The 18,902-nt window shown below is 38.0% G+C and overlaps 1 long non-coding RNA gene across 1 annotated transcript; it reads right to left on the bottom strand.

Annotated features, from left to right (window-relative positions):
- Positions 1-14,391: 14,391 nt before the first annotated feature.
- LINC02104 (long intergenic non-protein coding RNA 2104) lies at positions 14,392-18,669 on the bottom strand. The gene is made up of 3 exons (NR_104632.1): positions 18,638-18,669; positions 17,473-17,581; positions 14,392-14,849 (listed from the first exon to the last, which is right to left on the bottom strand). It is a non-coding gene; the product is annotated as a long intergenic non-protein coding RNA 2104 (long non-coding RNA).
- Between the last annotated feature and the right edge of the window lie 233 nt (positions 18,670-18,902).

Raw genomic sequence — 18,902 nt, 5'->3', positions numbered from 1 at the left:
CCTATCTGATGCCATCTCTTAAATCTGTCCTCTCTTCTCACTCTGTTTCAGCCATACAAGCTGTCTTTCCATGCATCAAGCTTGCCAGGTGACTCCATTCAGCTCAAATGATGATGTGACATATGCCTAATTACCTAGTAGCAAGCTTTCATTTTTTCGTATGATTGTATTGCTTGATGTACATGAAAAATTAGCGTGATCTCTAGAGTTGGTTAACAGTGGAAAATTGACTTTGTCATTTGAAAACACTGTCTAGAAACTCCATAAATAAAACACAATTATTTTTCTTTTCAAAGTATTCCAAATGACTTACTATATTTTTTTTTATCATGTGACCCCTTTTCAGCTTTCGCCCTACTTAAATTCTCTCTTTTTTCTGAGACAGTGTCTCACTCTGTCGCACACGCAGGAGTGCAATGGCATGATCTTCACTCACTCAGTCTTGACCTCCTGGGCTCAAGCGATCCTCTTGCTTCAGCCTCCAATGTAGCTGGGACCACAGGTGCATGACATCACATCTGGCTAATTTTTTGAGTTTTTGTAGAGACAGGGGTCTCACTTTGTTGCCCAGGCTGGTTTCAAACTGGGCTCAAGTGATCCTCGTGTCTAGGCTTCCCAAAGTGCTGGGATTACAGGCACTGCGCCCAGCCATAAATTCTCTTTATCATTGCACACAGTTGATAGTTCCCTTTTATTTGAAAGTTTCTTCTGTGTCCTTCTTCAGAAACACCAGTACATTCTAACTGTCCCCTATCTCACTGATTGCTGTACAGCCTCCTTCACTGGTATTCTTCCTCGGCTCCCAGCCCTCTGGCAATTCATACAATTCTATCTTTGGTCCCTGACTTTTCATACATATGAAACCTGAGAAATCTTACCCACTCACAGACTCAAATCTCCATCTATACACTGAGCGTGCCTAAATTTAGCCCAGACTTCACTCCTGAGCTCTGTTCGCCAATTGCCTTCTAGACAGCAGAATTGATAGGTTCCAAAGTCACTTCAAACTTAACATGTCCCAAATTGGACTCATTAAAATCTTTTGCAGTCAATTTTTCTAGTAAATCACATCTTCAGTGAATGCATCACCATCTCCCCAGACACCGTGCTAGAAAACTTTGAGTCCTCTCTTGCCTGTCACATCAATTTCCTTACATAGATCCTCAGGAGAAGGTGTCTTTTCCAAGACCACAGCCAGCATCTTGGAATATAAGAGGGTGGATGGCTTAATGCAAATCTATCTGTTAAACTGGAAACCTTATTTTGCATTCAACAGAGCAATCTTTTGGCACTCTAAAATGATAGATATAAATTCTGAAAAACCAGGAAAACTGGGTCTGTATTCTGGTTCCGCCTTTTGTGGTCTTAGGAAATTTAGTGAGCCTTTTTGATTCCATTTCCTCCTCATCTTTCAAATGGGGAGAATAATAATTACTTCATAAATTATTTGAAAAAATTAAATGGAAGTAAGTTAAGTTATATGCAAGCCCCCAGTGACATAATTTAATTTCCTTCATTCTTTCCTATCAAATGAAGCAATCATACTTATTCAAAGATTTTTCTGTTCAAATATTTTTGAAATGTGCCTCCTTCCCTTAAGAACAGGTTGTAGAAATGATCCAGCTGTGATTTATATTGACAAAGCAGGGGGAGTTAGCTGGAGGGTATAACTCACCTGACCCTCAAGCCATCTGACTTATTATCTGGAATGTGCAAGGAATCTTGTTAGTGAAACTGTATTACAGGATGGTGTGTTGTTTTTGTTTGTTTGTTTATGTCATGATGAGAGCTTGTTTTTGTCATTCTTATCCTAAGGTCATTGGAACTGTACTCCAAAACTAGTCAACAGAATTAAATGAATAGATCGATAGTGATTAAAAGTCTGGACTCTGGAGTAAAGCAGCCAAAATTTAAATCATCGCGCTCACTGTGTTGCCTGGGATCAATTACTTTCTTTTGCTATTTCTCAGTTATAACATAGGGTTGCTGGGAAGTTAAATAACATAATAAATGTAAAGGACATAGGAAGGAGAAACCATTTAACAAGCCATTAAAGAGCCATTGAACACAAAGTTCTTTCAGTGAGGGTTTCTGTCCTTGAGAAGCTGGAGGTTTCTGTCCTTGAGAGGGAGGAGGATGACCTAGTTTAGGGAAAATATCGGAATTATTTTAAGTGGTAATTATGACCATTGAAAGAAGACATTTAAGAGTTTTCCAATATTGATTTTAAATATTGTTCTATGTATTCTCATTCTTTATGTTATGAAGTAAAATAAAATCACGTTTCTTGTTTAGTGCATAATTCAGGTTATTTTAGAGCAAGGCAATTTCATATTAAAAGCCCAAGCAGGTTGCTAGTCTTTTTTTTTTTTTTTTTTTTAAGACGGAGTCTCACTCTGTCACCCAGGCAGTGGTGTGATCTCAGCTCACTGCAACCTCTGCCTCCTGGGTTTAAGCGATGCTTGTGCCTCAGCATCCTGAGTAGCTAGGATTACAGGCACGTGGCACTACACCCAACTAATTTTTGTATTTTTTTTTTTTAGTAGAGACAGGGTTTCACCATGTTGGCCAGGATGGTCTCGATCTCCTGACCTCGTGATCTGCTCACCTCAGCTTCCCAAAGTGCTGGGATTACAGGCGTGAGCCACCATGCTCAGCCACTAGTCTTAATGTACATTCCTGTTCCTCTCCATTATTCACACAAGGGCATGACTTGTTCCTTGGACCGATAAACCCATTACCAGGCACTTCATTGTATCTGTTATTAAAATACCTAAGATCCTATGAAGAAATATGTAATCTATCTAGGGCTTGAATTTCTGAAGTTTGCATTTTCAAATCTATGCAATAATGGCAAACATTAGAAGCAAGCAATAAGATTACTTCTACATTTTAATAATGATTTCAACTGGATAATGATTATCAACTACAATGGAATTAATACAATCCTTTCACCATGTATTTAACATAAAAGACTCATTTTTCCCTCTCCAAAACTCTCATTCTCACTACAAACTTTGTACTGACTCCCTAACACCTTGCCATTGGATTCTCTTTTGATTTTGTATTTTTACTAAAGTAAAAGAATTATGTCTCTTGGGATTATCTGCATTATGTCTAAATTAAAACCCTGACATTATTGAATAAAGTTGAGGCATGGGATTTTAATATCCAATAGATATTCCTAACCTTACTTAACAAGCACTCTTGGAACTCCAGAAATCATACTAACTAGATTTGGAAGATCAATTTTATCTTTTATCTAGCCAATTACTTCCACCAAATATACATAATTTTGTCTTTTTAATCACTATGATTTTATTATGGAGTAGCAAGTAAAATAATAGGAAATTAAGTTCATCTTTAATCATGGCTGCCTGGATGGATCTAGGCTACTTTAGGCATATTGTTTCATAGTTTTGTATCTCAGTTTCATCTGAAAATTGATTTTATAATAATTGTATCTATATCATAAGATTACTGTGATGATTAATTAAGATGATGTATAGAAAGTGATTAAAATGGTACTTTGCATACATTAACTGTCATTAAGCTATTAATATTGTTTTTGTTATTATTTTACTCAATTCCTGAAACTACAGGTACGCTAAGACAAGGTATAATAAAATCTGGAATGTCAAAATGTATGGAAATCTTCATGCCTCCCATGTTTCAAATGACAGTCCAGGCTACTCATCTAAAGAAAGCCAAAGTCTCCACAAGCTCCACCAATACATAGTACATTCAAAAATCTAATTAGACTGAGTACTGGACGGAAGTGAGAGGGATAGAAGCACAATTTCAAACCATGCCTTAAAAAACAAAAAGCAGTATTTTTTAGGTTAATAAATTTTTTGTTTGCAGCCTAAGCATCTTTCAAGGTAATAGGGTTTTGACTTTTGTGGTACCAGTTCATCCCAGGGATAAACTTCTGCCAGGATGGAGAGGAACAGATTAAGTACTAGCATTAAAAAAAAATTCACTTAAATTGTATGCATCACATTTCCCCACTTCTCTCCCAGGACAGATTGAGTTTAGGCAATTATTCTGAGTTTATCCCTCCCTATATGCTGAGTAAATAGTGTCTAAGACATTAGAACAAGGACTGTTAAGACAAGAACTTGTTTGAATCAGAAGGAAGGAAACTACCACTTCATCTGAGAATGTGTTGATGTGATTACACAGCTAGGAAAATAATCCATTTACTTTAAAAATGACAAAGGCCTCCGCCCTCTATAGGTATCTGGCAATATTGTTTACTGCGTATCATGTGAATACGCCAAGACAACATTTTTCTGCAACAATGACCACCTGACACAAGAGATTTTATCACAGAACTGCAATGGCAAAAACAAAAACATTCATTGATTCTCAGAAAGCTCAAAGCCATTAAAAACAGAAATCAAGTTAGTGTGTAATATAGAATAACTGACTGCAAATCTGAGTACTCCCAAGTAATATATTATAAAACCTTATCCTCAGTTCCCAAATAAACATTCAAACAATATTTAAAAATGTACACAAAGTTATAGTATTACTGGCCAGGGAACATAGGAATAAAATGAGGCTCTCTTTCTGTGGTAACCTGAATATAGGGTATGTCCAAGTGTCAATGCCTTTAGTGCTTAGCTATCCAGGGGGAAGAAAAAGAAAAGAAGGAGGTCTCTCTTGACCCAACAAAAAAATAGGAATGAATAAAAGTAAAATTGAAGAGCTAAATAAGTAAAAAGAAATCAAGTGTTATAACTGAAGAGAAAAGTAGTTAGACAACGAAATAAGGAATTTTGTTGAGATGATTTGGGAGAGCAAAAGGGTCTTAGAGGATTAAAGATATACGCTTAGGAATGATGAAAAAAACATTTCTGGGAGGAACTAGAAAATACGACTCAGCACACAAGATGAGAAAATTGGTTTTAAAAATTGAGACAGTGAAAAAGAGAGAAGAGCAAGAGAGAGGAGAGGCAAATGCCTTATACTTTATTGCACAGAATACTTCCCAGAGCATTTGGCAGAAGCAGTCTTTCTTCATTCCTACTTGCAAAAGTAGCCTTTCAAATTAGACTTTGTTCTTTTCTTATTGGAAAATGCCTTGAATCTAGATGTAGATGACCTCAAAGGTCCCACTGACCTGAGGCCAGCCATCCGGGCTCTCTGTGCTGTGCAGAGGGTTGCCAAGAGCTGGGGCAGGAAATGTTTGCATCTGGGCCTCGTCTAGAGAATGACACAGATGCAAATCACATAAAGATAGAAAGTGCATGATGATATAAGAATCAGCTGTCCTAGAGGGGAGAGCTCAGTCTTGGCCTTAAAAGAAGGGCTAACTCTGGCTGGGCACGGTGGTTCACACCTGTAATCCCAGCACTTTGGGAGGCCGAGGCGGGCAGATCACAAAGTCAAGAGTTCGAGACCAGTCTGGCCAATATGGTAAAGCCCCATCTCTACTAAGATTACAAAAATTAGCCAGGCATGGTGGTGGGCGCCTTTAGTCCCAGCTACTCTCAGGAGCCTGAGGCAGGAGAATGGCTTGAACCTAAGAGGCAGAGGTTGCAGTGAGCCAAGATTGCACCACTGCACTCCAGACTGGGTGACAGAGCAAGACTCCATCTCAAAAAAAAAAAAAGAAGGGTTAACTCAAGGAGGAGACCTGCATTCCAGGAGTGGAGAACAATGTAAGCAAGTGCAGAGTGTGTTTACAGGACAATGAATGGGGGAAAATCCATGTGATAGGATGGATTGGGTCCTGCAGAAGTTCTTAACTACCTGACTAAGAGAAAGAGGATTTTTTTTTTTTAACTATTGTAACATGTGGACTTAGTGGAGAATTGGGGCACAAAAGAGGCATTGTGAGAGAAGCATGTCAGAAAATTTACTTTGGTGGCAGAGAGCAGAATGGCAGCAGGGAGGGGAGATTAAAATAGGACTTCATTTCAATAACCCACATATCAGATGATGGGCTGAAATAAGGTGGTAGACTTCGTTGTTGGGTTAAGTGGAGAAGCAGAGGCTTAAGAGACTATATAAAGAAAATTGGTTTGTTATTGAGCTGGGAGGAGAATGATGAGACACAGTATCATTCAATGATATGGCTAATCCTTTTATTTAATTTTAATAGACACATAATGATTGTACATGTTTACGGTATACAGAGTGATATTTTGATGCATGTATACAGTGTGTAATGATCAAGTTAGAATAATTAGCATACTTCTCACCTCAAACATTTATTATTTCTTTGAGTTTCTCCTTCTTATTTAAGTGTTTATTTGAAAGGCCTTTCAGCACTTAATCTTAGTCATTAAAGTAGACCTGAAGTCTGAGGAATGTTTATCTTATCTTCCCTAACTTAATGATCTTCTCTCTCAGATCCATCACCAATCTTATCAGAAAACACTGGCCTTTAAAGACTTTTAGGCAATTTCTGGTATGAGACTCACATGTAATATAATTATTTGGGAGAATTATCTGCAGCTATATTGCTGCAGGAATGTTTCCTGATTGCCAGGAAACAATCAGATCTTTAGAAAACATCTTAACTATAGAAAGAAGCCTCTAAGATTACCCACAGTACTAAGAAACATGAGGAATATAAATATCACAAGTATAAGACCACAGGTAATCTGAAAACCAGCATTTTTAAAGCTCAGATTTGAATCTACACAAGTACAAGGCTTCTGTCAGAATTCTTTCTTGGAAAAAAAAAAAAGCCTTGATAAGTCAGCACCACTCAGTTTTCTGTTGACAAAAAAAGAGCATAATATTTGGGCTTCAAATTTCCCTCCATTTCTGTTGAAGGGGGAAGCTGAAGGGAAATAGATCAGTGTCAAGTGGCCCCATTGAACATCAAGCAATATAATTGGTGTATCCCTAAGGGACATGTTATTGGCTCTGGTCTTTATTGAATTCTATCTGATGTATCTTGGATGTTTACAGACATCCCAAACTTTGTATATCCAAAAGGAAATAGTATTCACAATCAATTTCCCACCTTCACAAACATCACGCTCCTCCAAGGATTCTGCTCAGAAAATAGTGCCACATTTCATCTACTTCCAGAAGCTAGAATTCTGAGCGTTGTACTCCTCATTCTAACTCCTGGTATCAAATCAATGTAATTCAAATCAAGTCATCAAGTACTATTAAATCTACCCTGAAATATGCTTTGAATATAGCCATGCCTTGCCATCTTCACTGCCTCCATCGTTGTCCAAAACACCATCAACTCTCATCTAGACATCCAATTTTTCCTTCTTTAATGCATTCTCCACATAGAATCCAGATAATTCATTTTTCTTTAATGTATTTTATTTCATTATATTACTACCCTTGTTAAAGTTGTCCAGTGGCTTCCCATTGTGCTTAGAATAAATCCAGTTCTTTCAAAGGCCCCCAAGACTTGCCTGAACTGACCATGGCCCACCTCATGCCCCTGTCTCCCCTGTTTGCCTTGCTCCAGTGACTCTGGCCTTCACCATAAATGGCCATCTCATCTCTAATTTTCTGTATATTTATATATGGGTTTGCTTCATGTGTTCTTCCTCCACAGATTGTAGAGATCATGAGAACAGAGACCTTTGTCCCCAGATCCCTGGGGCATACATAAGTCTATCTTATAGCATGAACCCAATAAGCACTTCCTCATTCTTCTTTTCATTCTCTGCCCCTACTATAGTATTTTTCCTCTTGAAAGGCATTGTTCCAACCTGTATCTGCAAACTATACTAAGGTATTCTTATCCCCAATTTCCACACTGGATATTTTTATAAACATTGCCTAATTACATACCTTGGCATTTAGGCTCCAATATTAATTTATTTTGAACCTTCAGCATACCATTAAACCCTAGGAACGTGATTAAGCCAGGTCATCTGCTTCTAGTGCTCATGGATTTGATATTCTCAATTGTCATTAGGTTTTTACATTTATCCCTAGTAAATAGCAATGAGATCGAACTCTAATTTCCATACTCCTGAGATTTTTTTGAGTCCTGGTTCTATCATCCAGTGCACTAACTCTGTTTCAGTTTTCTGTCATCCAACACTCAGAAATTTTCACTGTGCTCTCATTCTTTTTTTTTTTTGTAATCTCATTCTTAAACTTCTGCTACCTTATCTTCTAAGACATCATTCTCTACTGTTTTCTGTCATCCTTCCAACTGCACCTTCCCAGTCTCCTCTGAGGAGACTGGGTCTCCTTACTCAGTCACTCATTCATTTGGTAAGTCATGAAATAAACATTTATTGAAAAACTCTTATGTGCCAGGCACTGGGCTAGGTGCTGGAAATACAAAGACAAACAAGTCACAGCCTTTGTCTTCCAAGTCCATTTCCCAAAAGTCCCTTGGCCTTCTCTTATTACTGAGCAATTTTACCCATAATCATTGCTTCAGCTAAATATGTATACTTTGCTAAATTTTAAACCAGTGTATCCAGCTTCATAATCTTTCCTGAGCTCTAGATGGCTTATTTTGTGTGTTTTACTGGATTTTACTAAATCATCCTGCAAAAAAAATCTCAATCTCAACATGGTCATAACATATTTATCCCTATTTATCACCACCCCTGATCACCCCCATGACACCTCTGTATTCCTGATCTTGATTAATGGCATCATCACTTGCCCACCTAGCAAGTTGAGGATCAACTCAGATTTCCTATTACTATATTTAGCTTTCACATAAAATGTGCTTTCACATAAAGGTCCTCTCAATTTGATTTCATAAATACCTCTCTTTCTCTGCATCCCTACTGCCACTATTTTAGTTGATATCGTCTGTCAAACTAATTATTCTTACATTCTATTTCAAATCCCATTCTGTCCAAACCCATACCTCACACTGCTATCAGGTCTCCAAATAGAACAAAGAAAATTTACAAAAAAAATCATTCTACATGGTAATAATAGCAAAATTTCAACAACAATGCAACAAAAGTAATCAGGACATAAGCCAAAGAAAAAGTAATTTGGAAAAATAAGATGGAGCCAGGAATAATATCTAACACATAGTTTTGCTCTTACTGTGTCTATGATGTTATTTCAAATGTTTTGAATGTGTTATTCTATTCAATCATAGATGCCACTATGAAGATTGATAAGGAAACTGAAAAGGAATGAAATATAAATACAAAGGCTATTCTGTGAAATTGCATACAATTGCTATGGTAGGTCAACAGATTTAACCCTTAATCAAACAGCCAATACAAAGAAAAAAGCAAACAGTCAGTTACAAGACTCACAGTGTCTGAAAGTAGAAACAAAACAGTTGCTCATGGAAAACACTGCAAAGCTTGATGTTAAGACTAATAAAAAACAATTGGGGAAAACTGACAAAAGACAATTTGGCTACTCAAAACTGTCAAGTTCTTTTGATAGGATCTATAGCCTCTGATGGTCAGATATAGATAGGAGCTATAGATTCTTTTCCCTAACAACCACACTGTGCCACATGGGTATGCCATGATGAAGGAAAGTCTTCATTTAAATTCTGACACTCTTTACAACATTTAGTTGCTACCAGCCAGTTTTGTACAAAATAAAACAAAAACACAACCTCATGAATTTGGTGAAATTTCAGTGTTTGCTTTATGTACTGAGAAGTGCCTGGTAAGAATGATTTAATCTTAGAAAGGCAGCCCAATCAGTTGGCCTTCCAGTGTGACTTGTTTATAGAATCCTCTGTTGAATGTTGTTAGACTGCTTCCCATTCATGCAAGGCCAGTGGTACCTTTATGGCATTTCCAGCAAATTCACCAACTTTGAACGCCATTCAGTGTACCAGTGCACCAATTATTTCCATTATCTCTTTGCTAGGAGTTCTTAAACTTCTTGTACATGGACCCTTTTCACTGTCTGAAGAATAGTTCTGTCTGTAGAATACTTCTCAGAATAATGCTTTTAAATAAATATTTTTTTAGAAAATGATGTTTCAAAGGAAGAAAATGATATTGGAAGGCATTTTCAAATACAGTTTAATAAAAATGTGTGCTTCTCTTTAAAAACATTGAACAACAAGACCTAAAAGCTGTGGGTTTTGGGGCATTTTTGAGTCAATATTTTATTTTGAGATATCATGCCTTAACTATAAAGTTGCATGAAAATTGATCAAATTGTTGGTGAGCCCCAAATCAAGAAAAGGAATGCTCTCTCTTTAAATGATGCAAATATTTCACAGCATCAGATGATGATACCTTAATATATTCATTTTCAAATTAAACATATTCCTAATAGAGGGACCAGAAAGTAGACAAGTCCATAGAACTGGGCAAATGTTTTCTAGGCCAGGAATAAGAACAGTAAACAAACTGTGTTGTGGTTCGTATGATAGGATTAACATATGAAGAGTCTACCAGCAGGTGAATATTTTTTAAAATTACAGAAAACACAAAAAATGTGAAGGTGGGAAGAGCTGGTCTTGATCATTTAGCATTATCGAGGGAAGAGGGTCCTGAATCTTGTGTGTAGAAACCATTTAGTTGTAAAGGGCTTTGGCTATACCTATTCTTATCTATTGCATATAGATCTAGTTTAACTCTCAAAATACTGTGGGGAGGCATGGGCAGCTTGCTGTACCCCTATACCACAGGGACCTTCTACATTAGGGGCACTTCAAAGGGCTCCATGAACCTCTAGGAATTATATATATATATATATATATATATACACACACACACATATATATACACACACATATATATATATACACACATACATATATATGTATATATATATATTTTTTTTTTGAGACGGAGTTTCACTGTTGTTGCCCAGGCTGGAGTGCAGTGGCACAATCTTGGCTCACTGCAACCTCTGCCTCCCAGGTTCAAGCAATTCTCCTGCCTCAGCCTCCTGAGTAGCTAGGATTACAGGCACCCACAACCACGCCGGCTAATTTTTTGTATTTTTAGTAAAGACGGGGTTTTACCATGTTGGCCACGCTGGTCTCAGACTCCTGACCTCAGGTGATCCACCCTCCTCGGCCTTCCAAAAGTGCTGGGATTACAGGCGTGAAACACTGAGCCCAGCTGAACTTCTAGGAATTCTTAAAAAAAAAAAAAAATCATCAAAATTTCTGATCCTCCTAAGCATGGATACAAACTTTGGTGTAGGCAGATAATCATGGCTCTCACCAGATTCTCAAAATGGACCTTGGCCCACCAAATGATAAAATGTACTTTTCTATGCTGTTTCTTTTTCATTCTATAACACACCTGTTGGCATCCACCACAACAGTGTTGCATTGCTCCCCTGGGCATATTTTCCTTTCTTCCCAAATTTCAATTCAAATCTTCCTTGAACCAGTGAAGAAATCTGCCCCACCTTTTGTTATAGTCCTTGTGAAAAGCACTAAATGCCTCTCCAGAAAGGTCCTTCTATCATTAAACCTAGAGTGTGTGAGAACCAGCAATGTAAAGCACCTTTCCCTGGCCCTACCACCATCCAAAGGATTTAGGTTGGATGCTCACTGAATTTGGAACCAACACAGGAAATGGATGCAAACACTTTTCACTTCCTAGTTCTCCTCCTACACTAAGCTTCATGCTTGGGATCTCAAGAAACTGGTTGAAGAAAGAAGAAAGGCCACCAACCACATTGCCCTAAATACATAGGTATTTGGAAGCAGGTAAAAAACGATGAAGAAGGCTAGACTAGAGGCAAGCTACAAATGCTTAAAAGGGGATTTACCACCCAGAGCAAATGTGGATCAGTCTCTATTGTCCTGGTGTCTCCAACCAGGGAGTGGGAATATGTCTCCTTGTTGACATAGGGCGGTCCTAGAACAAAGAAAGTTGATGACCTAAACCTATCCTTTTTTCCCAGCACTTGAGTTGTGTGTGATTTAACCTTTAACTCTTGCTTGTTGATGTAGGTGAGATGTCAAATATTTTCTACCGGCCTGTCGGCAACTGTTTAAAGTGTTTTCATCACTCTTTCACTAAGGCAAAGCCAGGCTCAGGCTAACCCGTCCTTCTAACAGTTTCTTCCCCCACCCTCTCTCTCCTTTCTCCGCCACTTCCTTCAGACCCAAACAGGAAAGCCATGACAAAGAGCTGGGATCAGCCTGGTAGTCACTGTAAATCTGCAATTACTTAAGTGTTGCTTCCTGTTTTTTGAAAGAATACACTTGCAGCACGGAATAGACTGAGGTCTTGTGACCAACTGTGAACAAATGATTTAAATTGTGACAGGAACAATAAGAAGCCCAGTGTCAGGTCCTGCTGTCCTTCTTTTACCCTCCTTTAATTCTGTAGACCCGGAGTTTAAAGCCTCGTACTTCCTCTAGATCAAATTGCTCTCATGAAAGGACAAAACAGGCACATTCTGCCTACTTCATGCTTAGAGGAAAACCATCCTACCTTTTCCCAAAGCTGAACTCAAACCCACCGGTCTACCCATTCAGGGCAAAACAATTTTTTTTTTTTTTGAGATGGAGCCTCACTCTGTCACTCAGGTTGGAGTGCAGTGGCATGATCTCGGCTCAATTTTCCTGCCTCAGCCTCCTGAGTAGCTAGGATTACAGGCGCCGACTACTATGCTCAGCTAATTTTTGTATTTTTAGGAGATGCGGGGTTTCACCATATAAGCCAGGCTGGTCTTGAACTCCTCACTTTGTGATCCGCCTGCCTTGGCCTCCCAAAGTGTTGGGATTACAGGCGTGAGCCACCGCACCCAGCCTAAAACATTGTTTAAATAGATATATTTTCATTTAATGTTTAAGCCGAAGGCAGAAAGTTTTTACTAGTTTTGCCTTTGCAAGACAAAGGTTTTTCTACCATCAAAAAGAACAAAAAGTGGGGTAAAGATTCTCACCCGCATAATTTCATACATGTTTTTTACTTAATGGTCATTCTTGTTCCCTTAGAGACAGAAGACAATCCTGCTGAAAGAATGGACTTTTAGCTACCAGCAAACAACAGCACACATACAACATATACCTGAAGAAAGCAACTTGGATAAAGGAAGCACTACTCATTTGCATTTTCATAATTTTAGTCTGGAGCTTGCACTCCTATCTTGGAAAGGAAATCTCTTTCATTAAAGAAAACTGGTTATGCCAAATGCACAAAAATAACAGTGGGAGGCACTGGCGTGGGGATGGGTGGAGGAAGGTCACTGCATGACTCAGAAGCATGGCTTCCGTAATTCATATTTTAAGTCGTATTACTTCATAGTCAAAACAGAATTGGCTGGGCGCAGTGGCTCACGCCTGTAATCCTAGCAATTTGGGAGGCCGAGGCAGGTGGATCACTTGAGGTCAGGAGTACGAGACCAACCTGGCCAACATGGTGAAACCCCATCTCTACTAAAAATACTAAAATTAGCCAGACATTGTGGTACACCCCTATAATCCCAGCTACTCAGAAGTCGGAGGCAGAAGAATTGCTTGAACCCCGGGAGCAGAGGTTGCAGTGAGCTGAGATCACACCACTTCACTCCAGCCTGGGCGACAGAGGTCAGAGTGAGACTCTGTCTCCAAAAACAAACAAACAAACAAAACACATAATTTTAGAGTCAGAGAAAAAAACTAACACCTAGCTAAAGTAGGGTTTCTAAGTCATAAACATATATACTATCACATAACTAAAGTAGGGTGTGTCTAAACTACATGTGTGTATGTATATATGTATATTATATTATGCATACATAGCTGAGTATAGTGACACATAGCTAAAGTAGGGTATGTCTTTTATGTGTTTTTTGGATGTAGATTTTTAAATCATATATACCACATTATATAAAATTGTCTCAGCTGAACAGTCTACTTGGAAACTCATTAAAATCTTTCCATAGGAAAGTTTAAAGTAGCCGTAGGCTTAATTCTTATTTCCCCAGTCATTTAGCATATCTATTACTACTTCTTACAGGAAGACGTGGAAAATCAGGCACTTTGGGAATCATGGAACCTTTCTCAGACATGATTTGGTATTACTCTGTGCACCAGATAACTCAGTGGCCTGAAGACTTGAAAAAGTTAATGAACAAGTCAGAAAGGGCCTTTAGGATTACCACTTAAAGGTAGCCCGTTACATAAAAAATTTTGTTTGTAGAAAATAAATCTTAGAGAACTGATAAAGTATGGTGCACACTTGTTAAACATTAGCCCCAAGTTCCCATTTAAGCCACATTATATTTCTGAATTATAGTTTAGACAATATGAAAGTTTGCATGATTCACCCTGATACAGGAATCACTATCCAGGGAGCTAAATGCTTCATGAGTTTCATATTTTAACTGGTAGGTAGACAAGAAAGAGCAAGAACAAAGGACATGACAAAGTAAAGCTGTACCAGAGCAATCCATTGAAAATGACCCAATGTAGTCCAAAGTCAATATTCATTGACTGAATTAATAGTTTTTGAAAAATAAAATGTAGTAAAATTAGTTCCGATGTGGAGATAGGGTGGAAGAAGGTCAAGTTTTATTTTGTTTGTAAAAAGTATTCCATTAAAGCTATGTGGTAAAATTATGCTTTATACCATTTATGAATATCAAAGTACTAAGATAAAACACAACTTTCTTAAAAGTACAGCAGCAACATACTTTAAAAAAAAAAGAAACCAACAAGCAAGAATATGGTCACTGGTAAAAGTGTCTCATTGAAGAATACCCCCATTGAGGAGCTTGGGTATCAAAGGAGCAATAAATGGAAAATGTCCTGTTCAGTCATAGAAAGTTTGAATCTGCTTCATGTCAAAGTGTCACTGCAGCAGAGTTTTTTGTCAGGCATTCATCCTGACTGCTTTTTCTGGTTTTCCTTTCCTTCCCAGTCATCCGAGGGATCCCCTTCCCTATTTGTTTCTCTTTCACTTCTTTCTTCCATTCTTTTTCTTCTAGTCTTCACGCTGTTAACAAAGCTATAATTCATTAAAAATTGAAAATTTTTTTATTGAAATCACATGCACACAGATTCATATTATATATTAGCAAAAATACATGTATACTTTAGTCACCATTGTAACTCAAACAAAGAATTTGGGAGTTATTTATAGTATCATACATATTAGATGAGTGAATTAACCATTACAGCATCACATTCTTACTTAGCACATCACTTGGTGCATTACAAAATGAGGAACATACCAGACCCATTCCATAAGAAACCTTTGGGGAGACACAGGAAAAATCTGAAGATGGTTCATGCCCTTTTCCCGTGGCTTGCACAGCACTGCATGGCTGTTCACATGCACCTCTATACACTCCTTGCCTTCCGTATTTCCCCATTCAGTCCCCCTCGCTGTCATTCCGTCATTTGCATGCTCCTTCTTGCTACATGATATTTTTGAGTTCTATTAAATTTGCTTATACCATATTTACTTTTATGCTCTTACTTTTACTAAGTCCTACTGATATTGAGCACAATTTCTGGATCACTCAGATGTGCAGTAATGTTAATGTAGGGATGAAATGTCCTTAAGACAAGAGCATACAGTAGCTGTGTTTGTGATGCAGCATGTCAACATATTAAGACAATTCAACTAAAATAAAGATTTGATTGACTGTAATGAAGTGAAGAAATTCTGATGATATGTATATATTTATATTATGGCAAACCTATAGAATTTAATATTATGCAGATATTGAAAATCAGATTTTCAAAGAGTACTACATGGCATAAAAATATATGTAATGTTCAGGAAGAAAATGAAGGATATTAAATTGTATATGTAGCAATTCTCAATTTATAAATGTAAATAAATACATATGAATAAAATACAGTGATAGGAAGATAGATACATCGAAATTGGAAGGAAACATACAAAAACAGGGGTGATATTTGGATAGCAGAATTACAGGTGGTTTTGATGTTATTTTTACACTTTTCTGTATTTTCCAAATTTTCTTCAATCACAAGTGTTAATTTTTTTTTCTTATCTAAGAAACAATTTTTCATCTACCTCTGCAATTTTTACTAACTTAATTAAATTCTGTCAGGTAACCTAACAAGTACCAATGTTTCCTTCTTTCTTAAACTCTCACCTTAAATGTTTTCCCTTAGATACTGCTGCTGACTCACAACCTCACAAGCGCATCCCATCCCTTGCCATCTACCCTGATAGAGACTCTCCTCATGCTTTGGACTCTTGAAACATAGGATAGGACTTTGTAGACTCATCACTCAGATATCATTGTTGGTGATCACAATGTCTTAGATAGGGGTCCTTAAAAGCAGAGACTGAGAAAGGGCTCCAGATATATGTGATGTATTGAAGGAGTGATCTTTAGGAAAAACCTAGAAGGCAGTAGATTAAGCTGAACATTGAGGGGGAAAGAGGAAAGGAGAGATGTGATCTCAGGTAAAGTATAGCCTTGGCTGATGCCCAGGAAACTGGGGCATAAATCACACCTCCCACAATCACACCCCCCAAGAAACAACCTTGTTTCACCTTGAGGATATGTGCCCAGGCTTTTGTACCCCCAAACCAGTCAGCCATTGGTGACCCAGAAGGGTGGGGAAAGGTGGCGCTGTAACCCCAGCAGGTGGCTCCTATCAGCAAAGGGCAAGCCTCCAGAAAGAACCCAAAACACCTGAGTACAGATGCACCAACTGGCAAAGGAAATCTGGTGGAGCAACAACCATGTCTCCTACCCACCGTGATAATGAAAAGAGGAGGAGAAGGAAACAGGAAGAGAAGAAAATTTCAAACAAGTGCAGGCAATGTGGAAAGGACACAATTTTTAAGTGATGCTCCCCGCCCCAACTTGGAAGAATGGTGATTCAGGCAAGAAACTGCAACATTCTGGTAGAATACAATACCACAGTAGATTGAAATCATATGAAGGCATTTAAAAATTCCAAAATGGTTTTAATATAGGAGTTTAAGTAGATTGCTGCTTAGATGAACTCTCTATTTGCTCTGACCTCCCAAGAAAGTTTGAAGAGAAGGTACACTTAATTTCCTCCAACACTAATACTTTTCCCATACAAATGTGAGGCTTAAATGCAGCTGCTAGGTTTTCCCAAGAGATGGCTTAATTTTGGAATCTGATGAAAGAACTCTTTGGTCCGGTGGTCCAAATTACTGAGACACTCAGGGACAAGGAGATCTGTAAACTATGCTATAAAGACATGATGAAGATGCCAAAAGCAATTGCAACAAAAGCAAAAACTGACAAATTGGATCTAATTAAACTAAAGAGCTTCTGCACCTCGAAAGAAACTATTAACAGAGTAAACAGACAACCTACAAAATGGGAGAAAATTTTTGCAAACTATGCACCTAACAAAGTCTAACATGCAGCATCTAGAAGGAACTTCAACAAATTTACAAGACAAAGACAAACAACCCCATTAAAACGTGGGCAAAGAACATGAACAGACACTTTTGAAAAGAAGACATACAAGCAGCCAACAATCATATGAAAATAAGCTCACATCACCAATCATTAGAGAAATGCAAATCAAAACCACAATGTGATACCATCTTACACCTGTCAGAATGGCTATTATTGAAAAGGCAAAAAATAGCAGACACTGACCTGGTTGTGGAGAAAAAGGCACACTTATACACAGTTGGTGGGAGTGTAAATCAGTTCAACCATTTGTGTCCTTTCCATGTGGAAGGCAGTGTGGCGATTCCTCAAAGACCTAAAAACAGAAGTACCATTTGACCCAACAATCCCATTACTGGGTATATACCCCAAGGAATATAAATCATTCTATTATAAAGACACATGCATGCATATGTTGATTGCAGCACTATTCATAATAGCAGAGACATGGAGTCAGCATAAAAGCCCATCAGTGATACACTGGATAAACAAAATGTTGTACATATACACCATGGAGTACTATGCAGCCATAAAAAAGAATGAGATCATGCCTTTTGCAGGAACATGGATGGAGCTGGAGGCCATTTTCCTTAGCAAACTGAGGCAGGAATAGAAAACCAAACACCACATGTTCTCACTTACAAGTTGGAGTTAAATGATCAGAACACATGGACACATAGAGAGGAACAACACACACTGGAGTCTATTAGAGGATAGTGGGTGGGGAGGAGGGAGAGGCTTAAGAAAAATAACTAATGGATATTAGGCTTAATACCTGGGTAATGAAATAGTGTGTATAGCAAACCCCCATGACACATGTTTACCTATGTAACAAACCTATACATGTACCCCTGAGCTTAAAAGTATAAAAATAAAAACCTCTACCCTTCCTAGCTTTAATTTCTTGGTGATTCCAACAAATATGATAAACTTTCCAAATGTTCCTCTTCACTCAGTCATGCTCTGTGGGCTGTGCTGTGAGGGGTAGTTCAACAGCAGCACCTTGGTAGCAGAACAGTCTATGTCTGTCCGGAATTATTTCCATGCTTTGCAAGGCCTACGTCTACAAGTTCAAAATCTGCCGTCATTTCAGTGACAAAGTCAATCAAGTCCATTCTTGGATATTAAGTAGGTCAGAAAACTCTTTGGTTTTCAGCACATTCTGACCAGATTGTACAGACCCAACAAAGAGGATATTTTTCTCTTTAACTCCCTTACAATTTAGAGAGGAGAAGCCCCAAAGTAGATTGTGCAAATATTGAGGGGTATAAACACAGAATGTATAGAAAAAGGGGGAAAATGTTAGAAATGCTAGAAATAAGAAAGAAGTACATATTAAAAAGAGACATTTCAAAAACATCTTTCTCTTTACCAAGCAATTTGTTTCCGAACTTTTTCGTGGCTCCGGCTATAGCCTTCAGGAAACTTGATGATGTCATTTCCTTTCAATTGGCCAGTTACATAAATGTTGGAAAACAGCCATTTAAAACAGCCCTCAAACAGATGGCCATGTGTGTAAATGCCAGAAAGTGAGAACAGCCATTTGCAGTTATTTATTTATTTTTTTACCCCACACATGGTATAATGTTTATTTTACAGCCTCTCTTATGGACTTGTGTGGATCATTCTTGTCATTT

The sequence above is a fragment of the Homo sapiens genome, chromosome 5, assembly GCF_000001405.40.
Source record: "Homo sapiens chromosome 5, GRCh38.p14 Primary Assembly".
Taxonomy (NCBI): Eukaryota; Metazoa; Chordata; class Mammalia; order Primates; family Hominidae; genus Homo; species Homo sapiens.
The sequence above is the reverse complement of the archived record's forward strand: the minus strand, read 5'-3'. Positions and strand labels throughout refer to the sequence as shown.